The sequence below is a fragment of the Homo sapiens genome, chromosome 3, assembly GCF_000001405.40.
Source record: "Homo sapiens chromosome 3, GRCh38.p14 Primary Assembly".
NCBI classification, from domain to species: Eukaryota; Metazoa; Chordata; class Mammalia; order Primates; family Hominidae; genus Homo; species Homo sapiens.
In genome coordinates this window covers 25,286,347-25,311,311 of record NC_000003.12, presented here as the reverse complement: position 1 = coordinate 25,311,311, position 24,965 = coordinate 25,286,347, and the positions used below count along the sequence as shown (strand labels likewise).

At 40.9% G+C, this 24,965-nt stretch overlaps 1 protein-coding gene across 1 annotated transcript in view, besides 2 other annotated features; it reads right to left on the bottom strand.

Annotated features, from left to right (window-relative positions):
• RARB (retinoic acid receptor beta) overlaps positions 1–24,965 on the bottom strand; it is a 768,612-nt gene that overhangs the window by 286,621 nt on the left and 457,026 nt on the right. The window lies entirely within an intron of this gene.
• Positions 16,260–17,459: an enhancer, noted in NCBI's record as "MED14-independent group 3 enhancer chr3:25335344-25336543 (GRCh37/hg19 assembly coordinates)". NCBI's record gives its function as "activates an origin of replication core promoter dependent on BRD2, BRD4, P300/CBP and CDK7 cofactors, and independent of MED14, by STARR-seq in HCT116 cells {active_cell/tissue: HCT116}" and the evidence as "EXISTENCE:reporter gene assay evidence [ECO:0000049][PMID:35650434]".
• Positions 19,309–19,898: an enhancer, noted in NCBI's record as "OCT4-NANOG hESC enhancer chr3:25332905-25333494 (GRCh37/hg19 assembly coordinates)". NCBI's record gives its function as "activates a minimal SCP1, AML or CMV promoter by ChIP-STARR-seq in primed H9 embryonic stem cells {active_cell/tissue: H9 hESC(primed)}" and the evidence as "EXISTENCE:reporter gene assay evidence [ECO:0000049][PMID:30033119]".

Here is a 24,965-nt window from a genome sequence, read left to right as displayed (position 1 = left end):
CAGAATCTGGTCTTCACTCCCATTCTTTGTACTTGCCAGCTGGGACTCCATTCTGTTTTCACAAATACACCACGTGCATCCTCTCTTTCCCCTCCTTGAGGTGGTTGTCCTGTCTGATATGCCTCTCCTTTATGCCTGCCACCTACTTAGAATCTAAAGTCCTTCAAGGCTTGGCACAAACCCGACACCCTCTATGAAGCCTTCCTTGATTGCACTAATCTCCCCTAAACTTCTTTTCTTCTGACCTTGACCCACAATTCAGCATCAAATGTTGTGTTCTGGTACCTAAGTGGCAGTCTCATCTGTTCCATTGGACTTGAAGGTTCAGGGCCATTATGTATACATCTCCTTTAATTTCCAGAGTGTGCAGTTCAAGGCAGTGCTTGGCACGGAATATAAACCGAGTAACAAATTTATTTACATGCAAATTCTGGCTATATCTCATGGCTTCGAGAACCTAAGTGCTTCAGAGTAAAAACACTGACACGGGCACTGCCTGAGGAAGTGCTGTACATGCTGTTTCCAAAAACATTCAAGGAGCTGTTGAACAACCACTGGCACAGACAGTATAGAGTGGAATCATGTGTGAACAGAGAGGGGTAAAGAAAATGGTAGCCCAGACAAGGAGGGTTGTCAGCCCATAGTCACGCAGTAGATGAGTGGTCAAAGTAGCACTTAAACCCTGGCATTCCAGCTCCCAGCCTGGACTCCTTCTAAAGTGTTCATGGACAATCACATCTGAAGAATCACTCTGAACATACTGCATTTTGTCTGCTACATGGTATCTAGAGAGGTCCAGGTCTCATGTGGTTACTACATGAAATGTCCAAACCCCCTATTTCCACAAGGGTAGAGACTTTTGTTTTGTTCATTGTGATAACTCCGAGTACTTTTCACATACTAGGTACCAAAAAATATTGACCTAATGTTGAATGAATGAGTGCCTAGGAAATCTGACTGTCAGTCATACAGACTAGGCTGTGTTGCAAAAGCAATGCTCAAACCTCAACCACTTAAAAAATTCAGGACTATTTCTCACTCATGCTCCATATCCATTATGAGTTAGCAGGGAACTCTGCTCTATCTCACCTTACTATGAGACCCAGACTAGTAAAACAGCCACCATCATGAGTGCTGCTCGTCACCGTGCCAAAAAGAAAGAGCACTGGAGGGTTTCAAATTTGCAGACAAATGGTTGGCCTGGAAGCTACACACATCATTTTCACTCCAAATTCACAGGCCAGACTTCATCACATGGCCTGCTCAACCATAAGGAGCCAGCAAGGACAATACTACCATGCTGCTAACAGGGGAAGGGGCAAGAAATATGTGTAGAGCAGCCTTCGGGACTTTCAAGAAGAATCTTTGCTTTCAGTGCCTTTAGTTTTCTTTAAAGCCATCAAGTAGGTTGAAGAAGAATAAACAGTCTGGAAGAAGCCATCCTTCATGTGTAGGGGTAATGTAAAAGAGAATTTGAGACATCTGTTTCATTACTTCTCAGGTAAGAGCAATTATGAGGCTGGGCACGGTGGCTCATCCCTGAAATCCCAGCACTTTGGGAGGCCGAGGTTGGCGGATCACGAGGTCAGGAGTTTGAGGCCAGCCTGGCCAACATATGAAACCCTATCTCTACTAAAAATACAAAAATTAGCCAGGTGTGGTGGTGCGCACCTGTAATCCCAGCTACTCAGGAGGTTGAGGCAGGTGAATTGCTTGAACTCGGGAGGGGGAGGTTGCAGTGAGCTGAGATCACACCACTGCACTCCAGCCTGGGCGACAGGGCGAGACTCTATCTCAAAAAAAAAAAAAAAAAAAAAAAAAAAAAGCAACTATGAGATGTTAAGGAATCAGACTCCATTGTAAGAATAGAGGAGGCCGGGCATGGTGGCTCACGCCTGTTATCCCAGCACTTTGGGAAGCCAAGGCAGGTGGATCACGAGGTCAGGAGATCGAGACCAGCCTGGCTAACACGGTGAAACCCCGTCTCTGCTAAAAAAAAAAAACAAAAAATTAGCCAGGCATGATGGCGGGTGCCTGTAGTCTCAGTTGAGGCTGAGGCAGGAGAATGGCGTGAACCTGGGAGGTGGAGCTTGCCGTGAGCCAAGATTGCACCACACTGCACTCCAGCCTGGGTGACAGAGCAAGACTCCATCTCAAAAAAAAAAAAAAAAAAAAAAAAAAATGGAGGCACAGTCCACGCAGAAATGACAGGGGACAGGAAAAAAGAGAAAGGGAAATCAGCAAGGTACTTTTCTACAGATCAACAAAGTGGTTTTGGTTGATTTCATGCAGAGTCTGAATCAACAGTGATGTGGTTTCCCCAAAGGTGAATTAAATTTTAGTTTACATTAACAAGAAATATAACTTCTAGAATGATGGAGGTGATAATTCTGCCTAACTCCACATTGGTAGAACCACATCTGGGATATCATGTTAGTGCCCGGTGACAGATTAGTGCAAACAGAGGAACATGACTGGATTGCTAAAGAGCTCAACATTCTGCCACAAGAGGAACAAAAAAAGTAAATTGGAATATATAACTTGAATAAGAAAATACTCACGGAGGCTGGGTGCAATGGCTAATGCCTGTAATCCCAGCACTTTGGGAGGCTGAGGCAGGTGGATCATTTGAGGTCAGGAGTTTGAGACCAGCTTGGCCAACATGGTGAAACCCTGTCCTACTAAAAATACAAAAATTAGCCAGGCATGGCAATGCATGCCTGTAATCCCAGCTACTCTGGAGGCTGAGGCACGAGAATCGCTTGAACCTGGGAGGCAGGGGTTGCAGTAAGCCAAGACCACGCCACTGCACTCCAGCCTGGGCAAGAGAACAAGACTCTGTCTCAAAAAAAAAAAAAAAAAAGAAAGAAAGAAAACCAGTCAGGGAGAAAATGACAATAATTTTTAATATCTGAGTGATTACTGTGTTGAAGAGCATTTATCCTAGTCTGTATGGCTGCAAAGCATAGGAATATGACCAAGGGAAAGAACTTACAAGGAGATAGATTTGTACTTGCTACCAGGAAGAGTTCCTAACAGAACTATCAAAATACAGAATGGCATGTTTGGAGACTTAAAAAGTTCCCCAATAGCAAAAAGATTATTGTGATAATCAAACATCAGCCATGTGGAAATTAAGATGAGTTGATTTCTAAGACTCCATCTCACTCAAACACATAATTTTAAGTTCCATAGTATCTACTCTTGCACTCACTGCTGGACATCTGTACCTACTCATGGGCACCATAATTTAGGGGACAGTTTCAGAGGAACACAATCCTACAGGGCAGGGATTGGCAAACTTTTTCTGTAAAGGGCCAGATAGTAAGTACTTTAGGCTTTGCTGGCCATATGGTCTCTATTCCAACGACTCAACCCTGATGCTGTAGTATAAAACCAGCCACAGATAATATGTAAACAAATAAACATGATTGTGTTCCAATAAAACTTTATTTAGAAAAGCAGGTTTGGGGTAGCATTTAGTTTTTGGACCTTAGTTTGCAACCCCCTACTATAGACACTGAGAAAGATTCCAGCTGGAGAAGCTGCTTATCTAAGAAATCTACACCCTCTGTGTGCCTCGTCCTCATTCTAGTGACAGAGGCCAAAATGTTATAGGACCTACTCATCTCTGTCCAACGACAAAGAAACTAAATAATTCCTGACTTAGCAGGGGGTGCAGAAAGCTCTGATCAAAGTACAAATATTTGTGATAATACCTTGAAAATACAAAGGAGGAAATGAAGATGTTTTTGCATAACCTTCAAACCTGGCTCACTGTTGGAAAACAAAAACTGTGACCAGAGATGCCATTGAGGAATTTGTGTGTTGGCTAAGGGACTTCTGAGATTGGCAGTAACCATGCAATCACATCAAGACTATGCCAAGAACTTACATGGCCATATTACAATTTTTTTTTTTTTTTGAGACAGAGTTTCGTTCTGTCTCAAAGGCTGGAGTGTGGTAGTATGATCTCAGTTCACTGCAACCTCCGCCTCCTAGGTTCAAGCGATTCTTGTGCCTCAGCTTCCTGGGCAGCTGAGATTACAGGTGTGCACCACCACACCCGGCTAATTTTTTGTATTTTTAGTAGAGACGGGGTTTCACATATGTTCACTATGTTGTCCAGGCTGGTCTTGAACTCCGGTTCTCAATTGATCCGCCTGCCTCATCCTGAGGGATCACAGGCATGAGCCATCGCACCTGATCTATATTATAATTTTTAACTAATTTGGATAAATACCTAATAGGTATCATGAGTGTTTTCTAGACTACAGTAAGACCAGACATACTTAAGTCTCTGGCACTAGTAGAATGTGAAGGAATGTATCTCTCTTAGCGTGGGGAGCTTAATGCACCAACCCTAACAAGCCTGGGCAAGGAAAGAGTGCACACCCATGACTCCCACCAAGGATGGAGCCAAGCCAAGCAGACAATTCAAATAGACAAATGACTTCTGATTTGAAGTAAGAGAAATGTTCAACCCATCCCACTATCAGCATGTTTAGCTCATAATCAGGCATTATTATAATGGTATGCAAATTGTGGAAACGGCAGACATTCTTTCCAACTATGTTTTCATTAAAGATTCAGCTTTTTTTCCCCCAGAATAATAGTAAATGACATGCGAACTTCACATGAACTATAGGTCATGAAAGGATTTAGTATTGGCATTTTTAATCTAAAAAGTCTAGTGCCAGAAAATCAATATGTTTCAGTTGCAGCATTCCAATGCAATTTTCCTCACGTAACAGGGTTTCTTTCTTTCCTCCTTTCTTCTTCTTTTTCTTCTAAGTCTTTTTTTTTTTTAAAGAATGAATAATTCCTGGTTTTTCTATGAAACAAGCTGCCGTATTATAAGGTAATGACATCAATAACACATTACATGTAAACAGAAAATGAACAAAAAATCATTCAAGGCCCTTTTGAAACTGGAGTGCTTTTCATCAGCCCTATTACAGGTTCCATTCACATTATCGGATTGAACCATCCTGCATAACCGAGGTGCTGACAAGTCCTGATTACCCAATAACTCCTATATCCCTTTCAGGCAGGTTCACGGAGAGGACAGGAATACCAGGCCTTCCTGGGGGGCAGCTGGCCTGCCACGGAGACCCAATCAATGAAACTCAATGCCCTCTCACTTTCCTTCTCCAAAAATGGGGCACTGGACTTCCTGGTGCATAATTGGGTCTTTTTTCCCCCTGTGTTCTCAATTGTTTCAGATAACAGCTACTTATAATACAGCGGAGGACAGGCCAGGCTAACACTACCAAACTCTTTCCCCCAAATATTTACAGCTCCATTTAAGCTCTCTATATGGCAGATTAGATGGTGTCTTTCTTAAGTAGCAGAAACAACTGAAGAGCTTGGCACTTGGGACAAGATGGGTACCAGACAGGCTGCAAACATTCATCACCTGAATGTTTATATGTTTCAAATAACCAATCCCTTACATTTTACTCTTCAATCTTGAGTTATACCACTAATATAACACCCAAAGTCCCTTTTCCTTATTTTTTATACCACTGTGTGACATTTTGCCCTTTTTGAAGAAATTTTTGTTGAGGCCCAAGCTCTTTCTGCTCTTCAACAAATGGAATTTCTCCCCCACTAGGTAGGAGTGTCGTGGACACCATGGCTCAGGTGTGACAGATATGACAGCCAGCTGCCTGGCTGGCCTGCCTGATATCTGTGGGGCAGGGGTGATTCTACTAAAGGTTCAGAGCCTCTGGGCAAGACCACAATTCATTTTCTCAAGACAACTTTTCAACCCTTGCACAGAAACTACAGCCTGTTGCTTGTGGTACAGCTCTGAGAAACAGCCAAACCAATTTAAAATAAGCCTTTAAACAAGCAAACTGTGGTTTTTGCCTTTTGGGTGGTATATCACTATATATTTGACGTAATCTTCAGCTTGGGAGATATCATATTTTTAAAACAAATTTCTTGGCTTCCATCTTGGCTCTGGGGCATTGCTGTCTGAGGACATGGGTTTACCTAATTAATGCAGGCTCCAGCCTTTTTCTCTTTTTCCTTAAAACCTCTCCTCCTACAGTTAAACTCACACACTGATACATTTGCAAACAGAAGAAAACAAATAGAGTACTGGGCTCCTTACTGAAGTGTTTTAAATTAAAATGAAGGTCTAATTATGCAGGTTGCAGCACATCCTAGTGTATCCTACGTCCAGAGGCAGGAGGGGGCAGTGGTGTAGAGGATGGGCTCTCTCGTGGTTCAAATCCTAGTTCTGGTTGTGCACACTGTGAAAATCTCCTGGCCTCTTTGTATCTCAGTTTCTGAACTGTAATGGCACCTGTAGGGTACAGCAACCCTGAACATGTCAAAGGCTTAGAACAATGTCTCTTGTAGGGTAAACACTTGTTAAATGCTGTTATTATTATAAATAAAAATACCACTGGAGTAAGTTTGAATTGTTATTGTGTCTTGGCAGAACCTGGTGAGATTAGGTGCTCTTCTAAAGGAGATGGAGGCCATTAGAGAGCTTTGAATAGGGAGGGACATGACTTGACTTGCATTGTAAAAGGATCACTATAGCTACTGTGCAGAGGTCAGTCTATAAGGACAAGAGTGGGAGCAAGGAAACTAATTAACTATTATAATAACCCAGGTGAAATCAAATGGTACGTGGACTAGCGCGGTAGTGGTGGAAGTCGGAATCAGTGGTTAGATTCTGGATGACTTTAAAGATAAAGCCCACAGAGTTGTGGAAGGATTAGATCTCGGGCATGAAAGAAGAGTCAAAGATTATTCCAAATGTGGGATCACCAACTAGAATTGATCAAGGCCGATGAAAAAGTCTGAAAGAGTGAAGATAGAGACAAGTTGAATAGTGAAGAAACAGACCATCTAAGAGGGCAATACTAGGCATAGCAGTTACGGCAGACATGTCATAGAGGTGGGAAGATTTGGGATCATCAGCAAGTGGAGGGGATCTTACAGGGCATTCTAAGCAGAAGGAAAAGCTTGGGCAAAGATGTGGAAATGGAGCAAATGTTTAATGCCAAAGAAAGAGGAGATTAGCAGAACTGAATAAAGAAGCCTTCTTAGAAAGCACTGAAAATAAGGTTAGAGGAGCCCAGTACAGCTGGGATTCGGAAGGCCTTGACTATCTGCCAGACAGTTCTGTTTAGGGATGGAATGGGAGTGTGGATGCTTGGGTTTTGGGTTCAGCTATAATCTGTGCATATATGTTTTATTTTTAAGGTTAGCAAAGAAAAGGTGTACATGTACTCATACTACTGAAGTCAAGATGGGTCTAGGAGGATCTACCATGTTTTCCATTTTTTCTGGAGCTTTGGGGCCGTTCAGTGTTCTTTTTCATAGCAGGCATCACCAAGCCTCAGGAGTATATTGGATATGATCTGGCCATATTCACAAGCCTCATTAAACCTGTGGGCCACCCACAGTTGCATTTCATCTTTGAACCCTGGACTCTGCAATTTGCAATTAAGAAACAAACCCAGACCAAGCAAAATAAAATAAAAACATTCTGCCCGGCTGGCTGTGGCTCTACGGTGCTCAAAGCAGCTTTACTGAAATGCCTCCAGTGATTGTGGTAAGTTTTTATTGTCCCCCAGTTTCACAAAGAAGGAAACCTGAGCAACTAAATAACACATTTATTGAGGGAAGAGAGCTGATGAACAGCACCATGCAGAAAAGAATTCATTTTTACTCAATGAAGATTCAACCATGTGGCAAATGTCTGCTGGTATCTGCCCAGCAAAAGATCACAGGAGATTAGAGAGACATTCAGCTAACGTCAGAGGGGACACGGGTCTTCATTTTGGCACTCAGTCGGTCATGGCCTTTTGCTTCACTTACTCCTTGCACCAGCTCAAAAAAATTAATGGGAGCTCAGCTCTGCTATTGTTGTCAAATATTATGTTCTAGCTTAATTGCAGTCATTACTAAACAGAAAGTCCTGTGACAAATGCAGTCAACAGGAGTTCACTGTTAAAAGCACTTGAAGAATCAGATTAAAGGGGCTTGGCAAACTTGGGAGGATAAAATCAGCATCAATTTTCTTTGCTTCTTGGGTCACAATCTCTCTGACTTGGGTTTTCTCACCTGCGAATGGAGACAATAATACCTCCCAAAGTTCTTCAGAATATAATATAGGCTTTGGGGCTGGAACTGCTGAGCATGTCAAGAGGTTGTCTGTATAAAGGACCAAGGAGCCTACTGAGAAAGAACTCAAGGAAATAAGAGAATAAATACAGGCTCTGATGGCCATCAAGGGTCAGAACATTCTAAAGAGAGCATTGAGCTTGTCATTCAGATTATTGTCTAGTCTAGCCCCCTTAGAAATAAAGAAGCTCATATGTAAAGAAAAATACTAAAGAAGCAATTTATCTCCCTTTCTCTTACATACACACAAATTCTGTGACAAATGGGGAATAGCACTTTAACATCCAAACCACAAAAGTGTGGATAAGTGGAACCTTACTCACAGGGCCTTGTTTGATTTCCATGGGGGCACAGCCCAGCTTTGGTGGAGGCTTTTTAAAAAATGGCTTGAGATACAATTCACAATAACATAAAATTCACCCTTTCATAGTATACAACTTGGTGGTTTTAAGTCTATTCACAAAGGTGGGCAAATATCACCACTATCTAATCTTGAAACATTTTCATTATCTCCCAAAGAAACCCCATGCCCATTAACAGCCACTCCCCATTGTCGCTTGTCCCCAGCCCCTGGAAGCTGCTAATCTACTTTCTGTTACATTAGCCTATTCTGAATATTGCATCTAAATGGGATCATACAATATAGGGCCTTTGTGACTGGTTTCTTTTACTCAGCATAATGTATTCAGGGTTTATCCATGTTGTAACATGTATCGGCACTTCATTTTTTTTATGGCTGAATAATATTCCATTTTGTGGATATAACACATTTGTTTATCCATTCATCAGTTGAATATTTGGGTTATTTACAATCATGAATAATGCTGCAAGAACTTTCACATTCTAGGTTTTGTGTGAACATGTTTTCATTCCTTTGAGTATATCCTAGGAGTGGACTTGCTAGTTTATATGCTTAATCTTTGTTTAACCTTTTGAGAAATGCCAGACTGTTTTCCAAAGCTATTGCAGCATTTTATAATTTCACTAGCAATGTAGGAGGCTTCCAAATTCTCCTCATCCTTGCTAACACCTGTTACTGTCTGACTTTTTGGTTTTAGTCATGGTAGTGAGTATAAAGTAGTATCTCACTGTGATTATGACTCACTTTTATTTATTCTTCTTGGCATTAACGTGAACTTAGTGTGAGGACTTGCCATGGTTTTGCTGTTAGTTTCTCATCTGTATCAATTGATTTCACTCCTGTGGGCCACTGTCCTTTTCTCCTGCTAGGTCCCCTTTAGTAGTGGCAATTACTTGGGCCTCTGCTATTTGTGGGGCTACTGGTGTGTCTCTAGCACTATGACCCCAGTGCTGACACCAATGGTCTGGCATCTATGCCAAAGATACTTTCTCAGATGTGATATTAGTGCCACTTTCCACTGTGGCTGAAGCCATAAATAATGGAAACTGCCACCGCAAGAGCCTCAGATGTTAGGGACAGGAGCACAGGGTCTTTGTTCTTGTCAAGACTAGCACTTTAAGTCCTGCTTCTAGAATCCTCAGTGTTCTAAAGCTCTGCTAGATTTCCAGTTTAAGATGGTAGATGGAACACCTGCCAGAATCAACACCCAGGCCCACCTCCATACAAAATGCAGAAATAAGAGATATAATTAACAAGTACATATCCATGCTCTACAACACAATATGAATGCACTAAATAGAAATGGAGGAACATACAGGACCTTATGGTTATAACGAGAAGGTAGCCATGGTTATATCACCAGCACAGAGCTGTGAGTAACTCCATACCTCCTGTAAAAGCTTGAAGCCAACAGTGCCCTAGGGCTGCCTCAACATCAGTCTGTAACAGCCCAAGACATGCAAGGGAGGATCCTCCTACAGAAGATATGCACAAAATGGAGAGTCCCCAGGTAGCTGAGGGAGACTAACCCCATTGGTATTCACACTGTAGTACAGATGCACCTCCACTTATAATGAGGTTATGTCCTGATAAACCCATAGTGAGTAAAAACTACCATAAATAAAACAGAAGTGAAAACTGCATTTAATACCCTGATAACCCCATCATAAAGTAAAAAAAAATTAAGTCAAACTGCCATAAATCCGAATGTTTCTCAACTGACAATGAGGTTACATCCCAACAAACTCATTGTATAGTCGAAAAATCTAAGTTGAACCATTATAAATCAGAGATTTTTGTTTTGAGACAGAGTCTCGCTTTGTAGCTCAGGCTGGAGTGCAGTGGTGTGATCTTGGCTCACTGCAACCTCTGCTTCCCAGGTTCAAGCAATTCTCCTGCATCAGCCTCCTGAGTAGCTGGGATTACAGGCACCCGCCACCATGCCCAGCTAATTTTTTTTTTATTTTATTTTAGTAGAGATAGGGTTTCACCATGTTGCCCAGGCTGGTCGCAAACTCCTGAGCTCAGGCAATCCGCCCGCCTCGGCCTCCCAAAGTGCTGAGATTACAGGTGTGAGCCACCACTCCTGACCAGTGGTTTGTATTTTATTACAGCAGCAGCCAAAAGTGACTCAAACGGTGGGGATACATACAGTCCTAGCTTCCCTGAGTAACCATTATGGTTTCTCCTTTTAAAGGCTTTATGATCCTGTTACAGAAAGCTTTGGTTCCTTCTGTTCTTCTCAGAAAACTGCCCTCTGCCTGCAAAGGTCCCTGCAGAACTGTTTGTACTGTGAGACCCTGTCCCTGTGCCTCTTCAATGGATCAAAAAGGATATCAGAAGTAGACAGTCATATTCTTTCTTCTAGAATTTGGAGTTAATGATTCAGAGACTAGATTGTCTCTATTAATGGTTAGACCAAGAGTCTTGCACATTGTGAAAAACTATTGTTCAGCACATACTCTCCTTCCTCCACAAAGACATGATCTAGACAGTGTGCCACATTTTACAGCATCTTACTCATTTTTCCACATTGAGGAGTTATGCATCAGTGCTGAACAAATTATAATGCAAGGACATTTTGTAGAAAGCAGTGTCATGTTTTGTCATATAAGACAGTGTTTATCAGACACATGGCAGCAGCGATAACAGAAACACAGGTTAAATTTAGAGCAGTGGTTCTCAAATTATTTCATGTGATATCATCTACTCCTCAACCATATCTTACAAAGGTATAAACTACGAAGACTATGCTTAAATGAACAGAGCTTAGTGTTGAAATCGAATCAAATGAATTAAAAAAATCAATTTAACACATATTTAATGCTATGCACAGTTGTAATTATACTGCCTGGCAATTAGACATAGGAAGCAAACTGTTCAGGTAGATTCTTATGCAATTATTTGACTTTTCCACAGTCAGTTGCAAGGGGGCAAAAGCAAATTACTCTTGAACAGGAAAGATAAAGAAATTACTATTTTCTAGTCTTTAACTTCCTACAGCAGAATCTCTGAACTTATTTATTTATTTATTTATTTTTTTTGGTGCCACAGACCTTTTAGTAGGCTGCTGAGGGTTGTAAACTTCTTCTCAGAATAATGTTCCTAAAATAAAACATATTGGATTATAAAGAAAACCAATTGTATGGTCTTTTAAAAACTTTTAAAAATAACCGTCTTTTTAAAAAATTGAAATATTGCAACAATTAAATGTGATATGAAGAAAATCATACCAGGCACTGCTTGTAATACTGTGGTTACTTCCATTCATAATTTCAAATTTCATTTACGAGTGAGGTGGGCCAGGTGTGGTGGCTCATGTCTGTAATCCCAGCAATTTGGGAGGCCAAGGTGGGAGGATTGCTTGAGTGCAAGAGTTTGAGACCAGCCTGGGCAACATGGTGAGACTCTTTCTCTACAAAATAAATACAAAAATTAGCCACGCATGGTGGTGCATGCCTGTAGTCCCAGGTACTTGGGAGGCTGAGGTAGGAGGATCACCTGGGCCTGAAAATGTCGAGGCTGCAGTGAGAATGAAGATGGATCTTTCTTTTTTTGCTATTAAAGTTGAGGGATTCTCTGAATTGAGGTTAAGAAGTCTGTCCTGAGGGGAGAGGTCAACCACCATTCTCCAGTAAATACTCACTAAACGTTACTTATTTATTATAAAACCCCCAAACTAATAATAAACAGTTTTTACATTATGTAAACCTGGGCTAATACACTGACCTTGTAAGAACAAGTCACCTTAATGCCATTGCCAGAAAGCTGTTTAAATAACTATGCAAGTCTATGATATCTGTGATGTGAACAGTGACCCCTTAGATGTGGAATGCACGTTAGCATAATCATACAAGGGAGTCTTAATATGGGTATTTCAGGTATTCCAGGTCTCTCCAGGAATTTGGAATCACATCTGGCTCCCAACCCCACCTTCACTCTGAGGGAATCCTTGAGGGGTTCTTGGACAATTGGGCAGAGTTAAGCCTCCATGTCCATGAATCAGGTTGTAAACGTAAGTTATTAGAAATCCCTTTAGAATGCTCCAATTCTCATCCTCAACCCCCTCAGGGAAGCTGAGAAGTTTTTCTCCTCCTTGGAATCAGTAGGCCCCAAGCATCTGACCTCCTGAGACACCCAAGTACAAGACAGAGGAGGAAGATTGCTGGAATCCCCAAAGCTAGTGTCATACCCGGGACTAAAAATTAGAGGCCAGCTTAACTCACCACTATGCAAATCACCATCCTGGGGTTTGATTCTGAAACACAGACACACAAAGAATTGTTGAATTAAAGGAATGTCGGCACAGCCTGCTCTGGCTCTCTATCTCTGTATCTAAGCTGAGTTTTTAAGCATGTACTAGAGGCCAAGGCAGGTGGGTCACGAGGTCAGGAGTTGGAGACCAGCCTGACCAACACAGTGAAACCCCATCTCTACTAAAAATAAAAAATTAGCCAGGCGTGGTGGCACGTGGCTGTAACCCCAGCTACTTAGGAGGCTGAGGCAGGAGAATTGCATGAAACCGGGAGGCAAGGGTTGCAGTGAGCCAAGATCGCACCACTGCACTTCAGCCTGGGTGACAGAGCGAGATTCCGTCTCAAAAAAAAAAAAAAAAGATTTGGTAGCAACTCTTAATAAAATTACGTGAGTGTTTACATAGTCAAAGTAGTCCTTTTGTAAGCTGCACAAATAAATACTATTCCCCCTACCCTGAACCTCTGCTTTGAAGAAAGAACACATGCTTAGCTGTCTTTTGTCCTATATTACAAAAGAAAGTCCCTTTCTGTGGAATATCTGAATCATTCACTGGCAGTTTCTCAAGGTAAACAGAGTAAATTAAAAATTAATGTTTCTCATATGTATACACACACACATAAGTGAATGCAATTCTTCCTCACCCCACCAGGCATTAAAAGCAGTTGAGCCCATCTGTCATTTCAAAAAGCCTCTAAAAAAGTAGAAATCTAGGACAACATCAAAAAATTTCTGAAAACAACCTCCTGGATAAAGATAAATGTTCTTCCAATGATTTGTCTTGTCAAATTAGTCCCATGCATGAGACTAGACTGGGGAATGAGGGGAAAAAATGGGACCATCTCTTGCTTTTAACAGGGGAGAAAACAAAAAGAAAAAATAAGACTATAATTACGCTGATAAAGGAAAAAAATCCCCACGAAGATCTGCTTTTCCCTGTACATGATTAGCTTTTCTTTATGAATTAGGTTTTTGATAAAAGCTGTTTCAGATTACAAGAAAACAAACAAACCATGATTCTTATGAATTCATATAATGTTACATCTCTGTGGAGGAAGCAGGAATACCTTTGACCAGTCTAAATCCAAGACAAAATTAAAAGTAAGCTGTAAGTCAAAAAAAAAAAAAAAAAAAAAAAAAAAAGAATACCTTCTGAGTACTCAGTTTTTCAAGCAACATCAGGAATAGGGAGGGAAAGGTTGTAGGGCTAAGTGAACTGATTGTAAGCTCCTTTTGTCCTCTAATTCTATGTTTCAGTTATAGGTCTAATTATTCTGCTGGTAAAATATCTAGACCTTAATTCCCTTACTTTATCCTGAGTTATTTGTTAACCATTTGAGAATATGATGAAAGCAATTAATCCTCTCCTAAGATGTACACTTGTGTGGGAACATACCATTTTGCATACCATCACAGAGTTCATGGATTTCCTGAAGTTTATATACATGGAACTCTTATAAGTCTACACAGGCCAGATAAAAGACTTCGGTCTTTAGCCATTGTAGAATCCATTTAGCTCTTTCACAGACACTATCTAGGTAGGAAATGAGAGCCCTACACAAAACTCAAAGTCTCTAGGAATCTTCTCAGTCCACGAGCCTCACGGACTGCCCATGACACTGAAGGCATATCTTCTCACTCCTGCAAAATATCTTGTCCAGGGCAGTTTAGAAGTAAAGCACTGCTAGGATAGCATGCAAGTGAGATGTCTGGCTCACTTAAATATATTATGGATTCAGGCAGGTGAACAAAAGCAATGGGACTTCCAAATTCTAACTAGTAATACATGGACCGGTTCATGGGTCAGAGTTAGAGATCCATTCTGAGAACTGAATTAAACAGTAAACAATTTGGACAGGGAATAAGTTGACCCTCCCAGTTAGAGTGAGGGTTTTTTTCCCCCTCCAGTAATCCAGATAATTTCATTCTTTCTCTGCCAGACCTTTACCACTGAATAATTACAATAATTAAACTAAGAATTTTTGAATGTTTACTACCTGCTGGCTACCATGCTAAATATATTCATGTATGAACTCATTTCAACCTCATGTCGACTTCAAGAGGTAGGTACAATTAAAATCAACATGTTACAGATGATGAAACAGAAGCACAGAGATAATTTGCCCGAGTTCCCAGAAAGCTAGGAAATAGTGAAGTTACTTCCCACCTTTCATTTCCCATGGACATAGATAGCTTAATTTTCCTCTAAGTAGGAACTTCCAGCAAAACCCTAGTTACCAGCTTCTTTGGGGGAAAAAAAAGCCTTTTTGGCAGACTCCAGGCTGCCTTGCCCTTTGAATTTTCTACTGTGGGTTTGAGAGGATCTTTCCTTGTTTCTGGAATACTTCATGATGTATGTGTCTTCTTACCCTCTTCTAAGTTTCTTCTTTCAAGGCTCATCTCAAGTTTTGCCTCTTTTGGTGGATGTCCCTAGGGCTCATTCTATTATGTAAGATTAGGCATCCTTGAACATACTTTGCTTAGACAGTTGATTCAACTAGATCCTAAGTCTCTAATATAGAAAACCATGAAAATTTACTGAGCCAACAAGATGCACTTTTGAGAAACACATTTGGTGTGTGAGGCAAAGCTCCCTTTTCTCTAAATAAATCCTCCATCTCCATATATCCTTGTTCCCGTCCTGATACTTCAGAATTCTCCGTCTAGCTGCTGTGGTAAAGGGCCTAAGGGTCATGGAACTTGTTCTCAACATATTATTTTCTGCTGTTGGTGATCTGCCTTACATTTAGATTGGTATTCATTATCTAGCATGTGAGTGTCTTAGTCAAAACCAAAGGAGAAATAGTCCCATCTTGTCCACATATCACAGCAATAAAAGTGGGCCACTGACATATCGAATCTTAGGCCTGGGAGAATTTTCATTTAATACTTAAAAGAACACAGCCCTACATATTAGGCAAATAAAATAAAAGTGTCATGAGGCTGGGACTCTTTTTAATCCCATCATACAAACAAGAGACCAGAGAGGTTAATGTCTTAGTTTGTCCAGGTTGCTATAACAAAATACCTTAGACTGGGTAATACATAAACAATGGAAAATTATTGCTCACAGTCGTGGAGCCTGGGAAGTCCAAGATCAAGGTACCAGCAGATTTGATGTCTGGTAAAGTTCTGTTCTTCATAGATGGTATCTTCTCACTGCATCCTCACATAGTGGAAGGACAAAGGGGTCTCCCTCAAACCTCTTTTATAGGGGCACTAATGCCATTGATGAAGGCAGAACCTCATCACCTCCCCAAAGCTCCACCTCTTAATACCAACACATTGGGGACTGGATTTCAACATGTGGATTTCTGAGGCACACAAATATTCTGACCATAGCAGTTAAAATGCCCAACAGTCACAAAGCAAGCACAACCAGGATTTGAACACAAGTACTTAAGAGCTCTTGCTCTTAACTACTGTACCATGTTGCCCCTCTAGCATATGAGAGTTACACGGTAAGTGGTAACACATAGTCTATATAATTTGGGTAACATATTACTCTTTTGGGAAAATGGACAGATTGTCTTTCGAGAAAAAAGCAGAAATACTTTTTCCATGAGACACAGCAGGACTAATCACATAGTAAAGGGCTAACTGGGGCACTATTATCTGTGTATACACCTCGATACCCTGTGATAAAGACCAGAGCAGGGTAAAGGCAGGGAATGAATCTGAGAGCAAATCTGCAAAGCTGGTGATTTTTCCTCTTCCTTCCCCCCTCCACTCCCTCTTCCTCCTCTCTCTTCTTTTACAGAAACAGTAGGAGAAAAGACTGGGAGGCCACGAATACATTGCCAAATGACTTCTAGGAAGCTTCCGCCAACGGGCCGTTGGAAGGAGAGAAGCTATGGTCTCTCTCCTCTCTCCCTCTGCCTTAGGTGGCTTCTCCCACAGTGACTGAATTTCCTCTGTGGTTTTAGCTCCCACTGTCTGCCCCAGATCTTAACCTCCAACAGCACCATCTCTTCCTGTAGTCCCTTCAGCCTGGGTTGGGAGAGGGGTAGTGGCTTTCTGTTGTAGCTAATGTCTGGGTGGCCCCATTCTGCAGTTTCCTCTTTTAGCTCTTACATCAACTGTATGACCAACTCCCCATATTCAATTCCTTCTGCTAGAAATAGCTGGAATGGCATTTATTTTTCCTTATTGGATGCTGACTGGTAGAGAGAATGAATTCACTACCAGGACTTGCCTAAGGCCATGCGGTAAGTACTAAAGTTAAGTTCCTGTGGTTCAAATGTCTCTCTTCAAAACCTGGACTTTTCCTACTAGAATATGCTGCTTCTCAGTGAGTACCCAAGGTTTATAAACTTAATTCTTAACGAATGACAACATAATCAACATATGGTGTTTTTTGGTTTATCTCAGTCCTCTTTGGTTTTTTGATTATGCTGATCCTTTTGGCAAGTTCTGACTTGTTCATGGAATTCTTACAGATGTGGAGCTCTTTCCTGGGAAACAGGCTGCATTTTCCTCGGTGAATCCTTCGGTGAACATCCCCTCCTTACCTCCTCCGAAGTTATTGTCTCTGTGATACTTGGGCTGAAGCTAAGAAGGCTTATTCAAAGTAACAAAGCCCTTAGAACAAATGAGAAGGGTGCAGACAACCGATGAGCCATGAGTAGCCACTCCCAGTTACGACACATGTGAAATTGAGCTCCAGCATTCTTGGCTTGAATTTCAAAAATGCAACTAGGTTGTGACCCTGTGAGGCTGGCTAGGGTAGGTGAGCAGAACCAGTTCTTCATTTTGGTGGCAGAGAACAGGCAGAAGACAAACACATACCACCTTTTTAGCCAGAACTCCTAAACCTGAGACATTTCCATTTAATCAGACGAAAGCAAAGATAGAGATACTAGGTGATGATGGTTTTAGGAAAATGGGATTAGTTATTGTCATAGACAGCTGCTTCCTATCTCTGAACTTTTTTTTTTTTTTTTTTTTTAAATGGAGTAACTCTAGCCTCGGGAAATTCTTTTTCTCTTGTCCAGTGTTCTGCAAAATATCATCTGAAATTGGAAAATGCTGTGTTGTATGTTGGGTAATAGGCATTCTTCCCATCGTCAACAATACAATAGCATCAACTACAAAAAGAAGCATTAAAAATGTTAATAACAATGAACGTTTGAGGGCTTGTGATATGCCAGGCACTGGTCTAAGTGGTTCATTATAAAACATCAACTCTTAAGGACTTTATGAAGTAGGTATTATTATAGCCTCATCTTACAAATGACAAAACTGAGTACAGATAGGTGCTCACTGCCCAGACTGACACGGCCAGTAAGTGGCATAACTGGCATTTGAACACTGAAAATTCAGAGCCTTTGCCCACATTTTTAACTACAGTACTGTACTGCTTCTCCGTAACGTATCAGAATACAGATACAGGTATACGGCGAAAAATTCTACATAACGTGTCTGATCTGGTTGCGTGACTGCACAGCCAGGCTGTGAATAACTAGGAGAGCTAATCTTTTGTCTGCATTGGATTCTCAGCCACAGGAAAAAAATTAAAAATAACACACAAAAAACAAAACCAACCTCCTTTACTGAGTGTCTAGGATCTTTTTGGCTCTCGCGGAGAACACATCATGCTTAGTTTGCATTAAATTTTGGGAGCGTCTTCAGTTTCACAGACCCCAAAGGTATTTTCAGGCTGACACTAAGGCAAAAGCTATTTCTAAGTGACCAGCCTCGAATAGGGCAGGACCATGTTTTCTCATAACACAGGCCTGCAGCTAAAATCAAGGGCACGTTTAAACATGCCCATTTTGAAACCAACGCAGGGCTCTTTCTTCCCCACTTGCCAGTGGGGACAGCTGACCATATCAAAGGGAAAGGAGCTCCTGAGGAGTCTAGCTTCTGGAGACTTTGGTTTCTGAGGATTAAGAAAGCTAAAGAGGAAGGCATTAATATAAATCTTTCTTTGCCTAACTCTGTCAGGGATATGAAGCTACATAGAGCAACGCAAGCTCTCTCTTGTTTTAGAAGAACTTTTTCATCTTATAATCTACTTTAACAAAAACTACAAAGGTTTGTTTCTATAGGCTTTTCCCCATCTCTTCTTCCCACCTCAAAGGAAGACGGGGCATAGCATTTGGCTCCCCTCTTTGAGAGAAAGCTCACCATTCACTTAGTGACATGTCCCTGCCCACATGAAAGAAAATGCTGTGTGTGCCCCACTTTGCCTTTAGACTCTGTGACATCGGGGAGGACTTGCTCAATGTGGGACATTTCTTGGACACATTTCCAAATTACATTTTGGTGGGGTGAGGGTGGGAAGGGGCTATCTCACCATCCAATGGCCCTAAACTCGCTGCATCGCCAGCAGTGAAGAACAGTCTTTGTATTTTTGTTAATTTGTCAAATTCTCCTACTGGGGACAAGAGAGCCAACTCTGCTCATCAGCAACCCCTGAAGCAGGGTATTCTTCAAGAAAAGGATGGGGAGTTTGAGAAACAATTAATCTCTATCAAGGTTTGGCAAAAAAAAAAAGTGGGAGGAAGACTCACTACCCCCTTCTCACATGTTAGAAACAACGTTGTATTAAATTGGTAAAATTTTAGTGAGAGGAGTGGTTCTGTCAATCCCCATAAGAGAGGGAAAGTTAAAGTCCTGGGTTAAAGATTAATATTCCAAGTTCAGAACAAAAGGATGTTCTTTTGTGCCTCTGTGCTTATGCCTCTGAATGTAAACATTGTTCTGAGAGCCATTTTTTCTTTGCCAGATCTTTAAAGGGTAATAAATTAGCCCGTGGACAGCCATACAAGCTGCTACTAGATGTGAATGTGAATGTGTCTGAAGAAAAGGCTGACTTTCAATCAAAGTCTATTGAAAGAATGGTTGGATTTTCTAAAGAAGCATGTTGTGCCTATTAACCAACTTACAAAAGGGGCCATTTCCTTGATTTATGTTTGGTTGCTATAGAGATCCTGCAGCCCAGACTGGCAGGTGAAGCTCCCCTCTAACAATCTCAGAGGTTTTTCTTAGTTATCCTCTGAGGCTGAACTGCTGCAGTGGGTAAAAGGCAAACAAGCCGTGTGTGTTCAAAAAAAAAAAAAAAAAAGCAAACATCTGGCTCAAGCATTTTTACCCATATCTCTTAAATTATGACTTATTATATCTGAGACTTAGGGCAAGCATTTTTACAGCACTTGAAAACATGAGTACAAAGAAAAGTTTATTTTTCTATTTGGGACCATTAATGACTGGTTTCTGCAAGTGCAGTTTATTGCTTACATTATTTTACAGAATGCACAGCGTTCCATGCTTGAACTCGAACTGATCTTCAAGAATGAGCTATGCATTCATGACCTGAGGGAAGATATATATGTGTGTATCTATGAGTATATTTGTGTACATTTTTGTGAAGCAGATGGATTATAATCATTGCATGGTAATGCTGGAGGGATATTAAAGATAGTTTTGCCTCAACTCTATATTTTTCAGAAGGGGAAACTGAGGGATTTCAGAAAGATTTGCCCAAGTATGACATAAGTGATCTGTTGTAGGGCAAAATTTGTCTCTTTACCAAAGCTCTTGCCATCATTTCCCTATCATGTGAGCAAGCTCATAGAAAACTTCAGGGTCAGAGAGGTGAGGAGAGGGCTCGAACACTGGCGATGATATAATTTCACTTATAATTCACAAGGAAAACATTATGGCTGGGTCAAAGACTAATCAAAGTTTATGTTCTGGGGAAAGCAAGAGAAGAGGGGAGAGAGAGGGAAAAGCCAAGGACTGAGCAGAGCGCTAAGTGCATCCCTCACTGTCAATGGCCCTTATATATACAGAGAGAGGAAAGACAGCCCAGGACTCCAGTTATCAACCAATAGAGCAAAGTCACTGCAAGGAGGTGAATTGCATGAGCAGGATCACTTCTGACTCCTGAACCTTTTTTACCATGTACCCACTTTGAGTTTCCTAGTATCAGAGATACTCCTTGTAAAGCCTTTTGAACGTTTTAAAGGGACCATGAAGGAATCATCTTCCCCAGTCATGAAGGCGTGTTTCCTGTGTCCCTCCACACAGTGGATTAGTTTGCTAGGGCTGCCATAACAAAACACCATAGACTGGGTGGTTTAAACAACAGAAATCCATTTTCTCATGGTTCTGGAGGCTAGCAGTGTGAAATCAAGGTGCCAGGAGGGTTGCTTCTTCTGAGGCCTCTCTCGAGGGGGTGGTAGGGTCAGTTCTTTGAGTGTCTTTACATGGTCTTCCCCCAGTTCATGCCTGTGTCCTAATCTTGTCTTCTCATAAGGATGTTAGTCCTATTGGATTAATGATTTCATTTTAGCTAGATTGCTTCTTTAAAGACCATATTTCCAAACGTAGTTATGTTCATAAGTCCTGGGGGATAGGTCTTCAACATATAAATTTGGGGCAAGGGGGACATTACAGCCTGTAACACACAGTTAAATGAGATTTCTATGTAAATAGCTCAATGCTTCATTAGCCTAAAGAAAAGGGGAGCATTCTCTAGAAGGTTCTCTTAAATCCCCCAACCCAAGGACTGAGAGGGGGATTTCCACAGGCCCTACCAGTACCTTCCAGAGTCTTTTCCTGATTTCCAGTAAAGTCAGGATTTCTTCCCAGCTCAGAGTTGTGGTGACATCCTTTTAGCCACTAGGAATTCCTGGTAGCCTCATTCCCCACAAAGTCTTAGGGTCTCCGGTTAAGAACTGTTTACTGGTGGCTGGAAAATTAATCCTTTGGTTGATTTCCAAAAATTATCTATGACTTATTCCATTGCTATCCAGTACTTCCAAGAAACCAAAGGGAATAGCCCAGATAGAAAAAAAATCCTTCGCCTTCCTCCCACTCCTTTATTATGCTATAAACATTTGTTAATACAGCAATTATCTTTTGAGTTGTAAAGGCTAAGTAACTACGAGGAAGAAAGGGGTGAAGGAAAAGTGCAATCCTTCAAGCTTAATGAAGTCAAGTGAAATTATTTCAAGTGGATGTGAATTATGGAGAACAGAATCCTCTTTTGCCAAAGTTTAATAAATGATGGCATGCCATTTTGTTGAGCCAAACCTCCTTGCAGCTTGGTTTTGTCAGACAACATATACAAGAACACAATAAAGACATCTGTGGACAGACCTGGCCTTTTGGAAAAGGGAACTCTTTGTGATTGAGAGGTGACTGATGGTAACAGGGAAAAAGGATACTCTGTCTCTTGGATAGCCCCTTGTTAATAAAGCCAGCTTCACTGAGCATTTGCCAAGTGTCCACCATTGTGCTCAGTGCTTTACACACAGATCTCATTTCAACCTCACAGCATCCCCGTGAGGGAGGTCTTACTAACCATTTTGGTGAATGAAAAAACAGGGTGAGACACTCTAAGGAACCTGAATGGGATACCACAGCCTACAGTGGGTGAAGCTGATATTTGAAATTGAAGTTGGCTCTAAATCTGAGCTCTAATCCACTACGTGAAACAGCTGAAAAGGCTTCTCTGCTGGTCCAGGCAACTGCATGCCCTTTGACATTATGAAGCGTTGCCTCAGTGGCGGAACAGTATGAATGAGTTATCATCATTGGTTCATGGGAGTACTGTTCCAGAAATTAAGGTCTCCAAATATAGGTGAAGTATGAGGGCTGGGAAATAGTAGAGGTCTTCTGCCTTTTGGAAAATAGTTGTTGGTTGAAACTTGCATAAAAGGGAGGGCTAAGAAGAAGAGAACAAGTGGAATGAAGATCAATGTCTCAAATTTCTACAGGGACAATTCAAAGCAGAAATTTCAATCTGTAGGGGAGAAGAAAAAAAAAGAACAGAAGAGGAAAGTTCCAAAAGATAATTTCTCTTAGAAGGTGACAGCTCTGAGACAGTTCTGCTTGGCTCTCTTCTGTTATTGTTTCTGGTACAGGGAGTACAATGGATGATCAAGAATGGAAGCATCTCCAGTGGTGAAAGCCAGTCTGTGGCCAGGTAATCATTCACCAAATGGATACCACCTGGGGTAGAATCACTCACACATGCAAATTGGCCCAAATAGTGTCCTGGGCTCATGGGTTATTTAAATGAATGCAGCTGGGATTTGATTTCAAGTGGCAGCAAAAATACCAAGAACGTTCTGCACCAAAGAAAACAGCACATTGACTGTGTCCCCTTTGCTTCAATTAGCTGCAAAAATCTTACAGTAATTCTCACTACAGTCTAGCGTGACTAGGGAGAGAAGAAGCGATTAACTGCTTCATGGTCTGCTTTTGAACTCAGTTCCAAAGTTTCACTAGATGATTTCTTTTGCTGCTGTTTTTATTTTTAATATCCAGAATGTCTTAGCCATTTTCCTCCTTTCTCTCCAGACTAAGGCTACAGTGCAAACAAAATTTACTGCTAAATGTGGTATCACCTATAACCTACCCTGGACAATTCCCTGTAGCTTCTTTATAGTATTTGCAGCTTGAATTTCTTTGACAATATCTTGCTATATTTGGTACTTACTTTTAATACTAAGCTTGATACTTTAAATTGTATGAACATGCTAGATATTTAATTTCTATTAAATATGAACTTTATTTTTAAAAATCTACCAGCTTTGTGGAAAATCTAATAAGTGAAAAGTTTCTTCCACTCCTCCCCTTTATAATGCATATTGAATTAAGTTTGTGATCTTACATAGAGCGTCTGAATGTTTAAGATCACAGTCGATCTACTTTTATCAAGCTCTAAGTGAATATGGCTGACAACAAGCAGAAGAGAAATGTATCTATCACAAGCTGCAATCATTTCTCAAGATGTCTATTTGGATCCTTCCTGGATACAGTTTTATAAAAACTGAACAGTGGAAAATATGCAATACATAAGACATCATATTTGATTAGGCCACTTTCCCATTGACAAAGGGTTTTCCATGCATTGCATCAGTTGACAAAGGGGAAGATCCTTAAATTCTTTGAAACCCATACAAAGGAAGTCAGAATTTGTGAGGTGACTCTTGAAGCTGGAGAAGCCTGCTTGGCCCAATACTAAAGGAGGCCGAGAGTGTCTGTCTGTGTGTGGACCAGGATAGGATGGATGGAAGCAGTTTCTATGCTTCCCCCTCCTGCCCTCCTAATGACCTAAGCTCTGGCCTGAGGGACCAACATCCCTTAGAATGAGAGGTTATTTAGTTTTGATATGAGTACAGCCTTGAGACTCCCTGTAGAGAAATTGCTTATTCCAAAAATTTAGCTTCTTTCTCTCCCTTGTATATGGAAACATAGGAAGAAATGTGGTCTGGAATGCAGAGTGTAAGGGAAAAATAAAACCACGTCAGAAATGAATTTTGGATGAAAAAAGAAGGATAAGTGCAGTAGTGTCTGCTGGAAAGGGAGCGACACCAGAGTTCAAGACAAGCACCATAGGTTGTTAACTTTGTTCAAGATGTTATGCATTTCAACAATGCATTCATCCCCAAGTTATAAAACCTGTATCACTAGAATGTGAATTAGTTTATGTGGTGTATAAATGACAAAATTGAGTCACATAGAAACAAACTGCCTCTTCCATTGTTCGTAATAACAGGCAGGAGAAAGCCTTCATCTTTGTGTCTTTACTACTCTGATCTTCCCTTAACAAAGACAGAGCGCATCATGAGTGATCGGGAGTTTTTCATTTCTGGCCATGATACATAAATTTTCTTGTAAAATAGATATCTTGAAGTAAAAGTACAGGTTTATTTAAACAGTTGAGAGTGATAGTACTCTGCTGTGGACTTTTTCTCCTTGATAATGGATCTATTCATTCCTCTGTGAAATGTAAAAATAAAAATACCAACCTCGCAAGGTTGTTGTAAATATTACACATGACTTTGTCAACTCTCAAAGTACAATTAAAATGTTCAAATGGGAAGGTAAGAATGAATAAAGATTAAATCAATTGGGGGGAAGGATTATAAAGAAAAATAATTTTGGAGTTTCCTCCAAAGGGCCTGAATGGAGGAGTAAGGAGGTGAGACTTTAGGTAGTGAGAAGCAACTGACATTTTTGAACAGGGTGTATAATGATGAATGAAGTCAATTCAACAATGTTGTATAGGACACACTGAAGAAGAAAGTCTGGAGAGGAGGAGAAACATCAGAGGGCTTCTCAGTAGGCTAGAGGGATTATAGTAGAGAGGGAAGGAAAATAACATATTCAAGAGAGGTTGTAAGAGAAGGATCAAGTTGGGCTGGGCACAGTGTCTCACGCCTGTAATCCCAGCACTTTG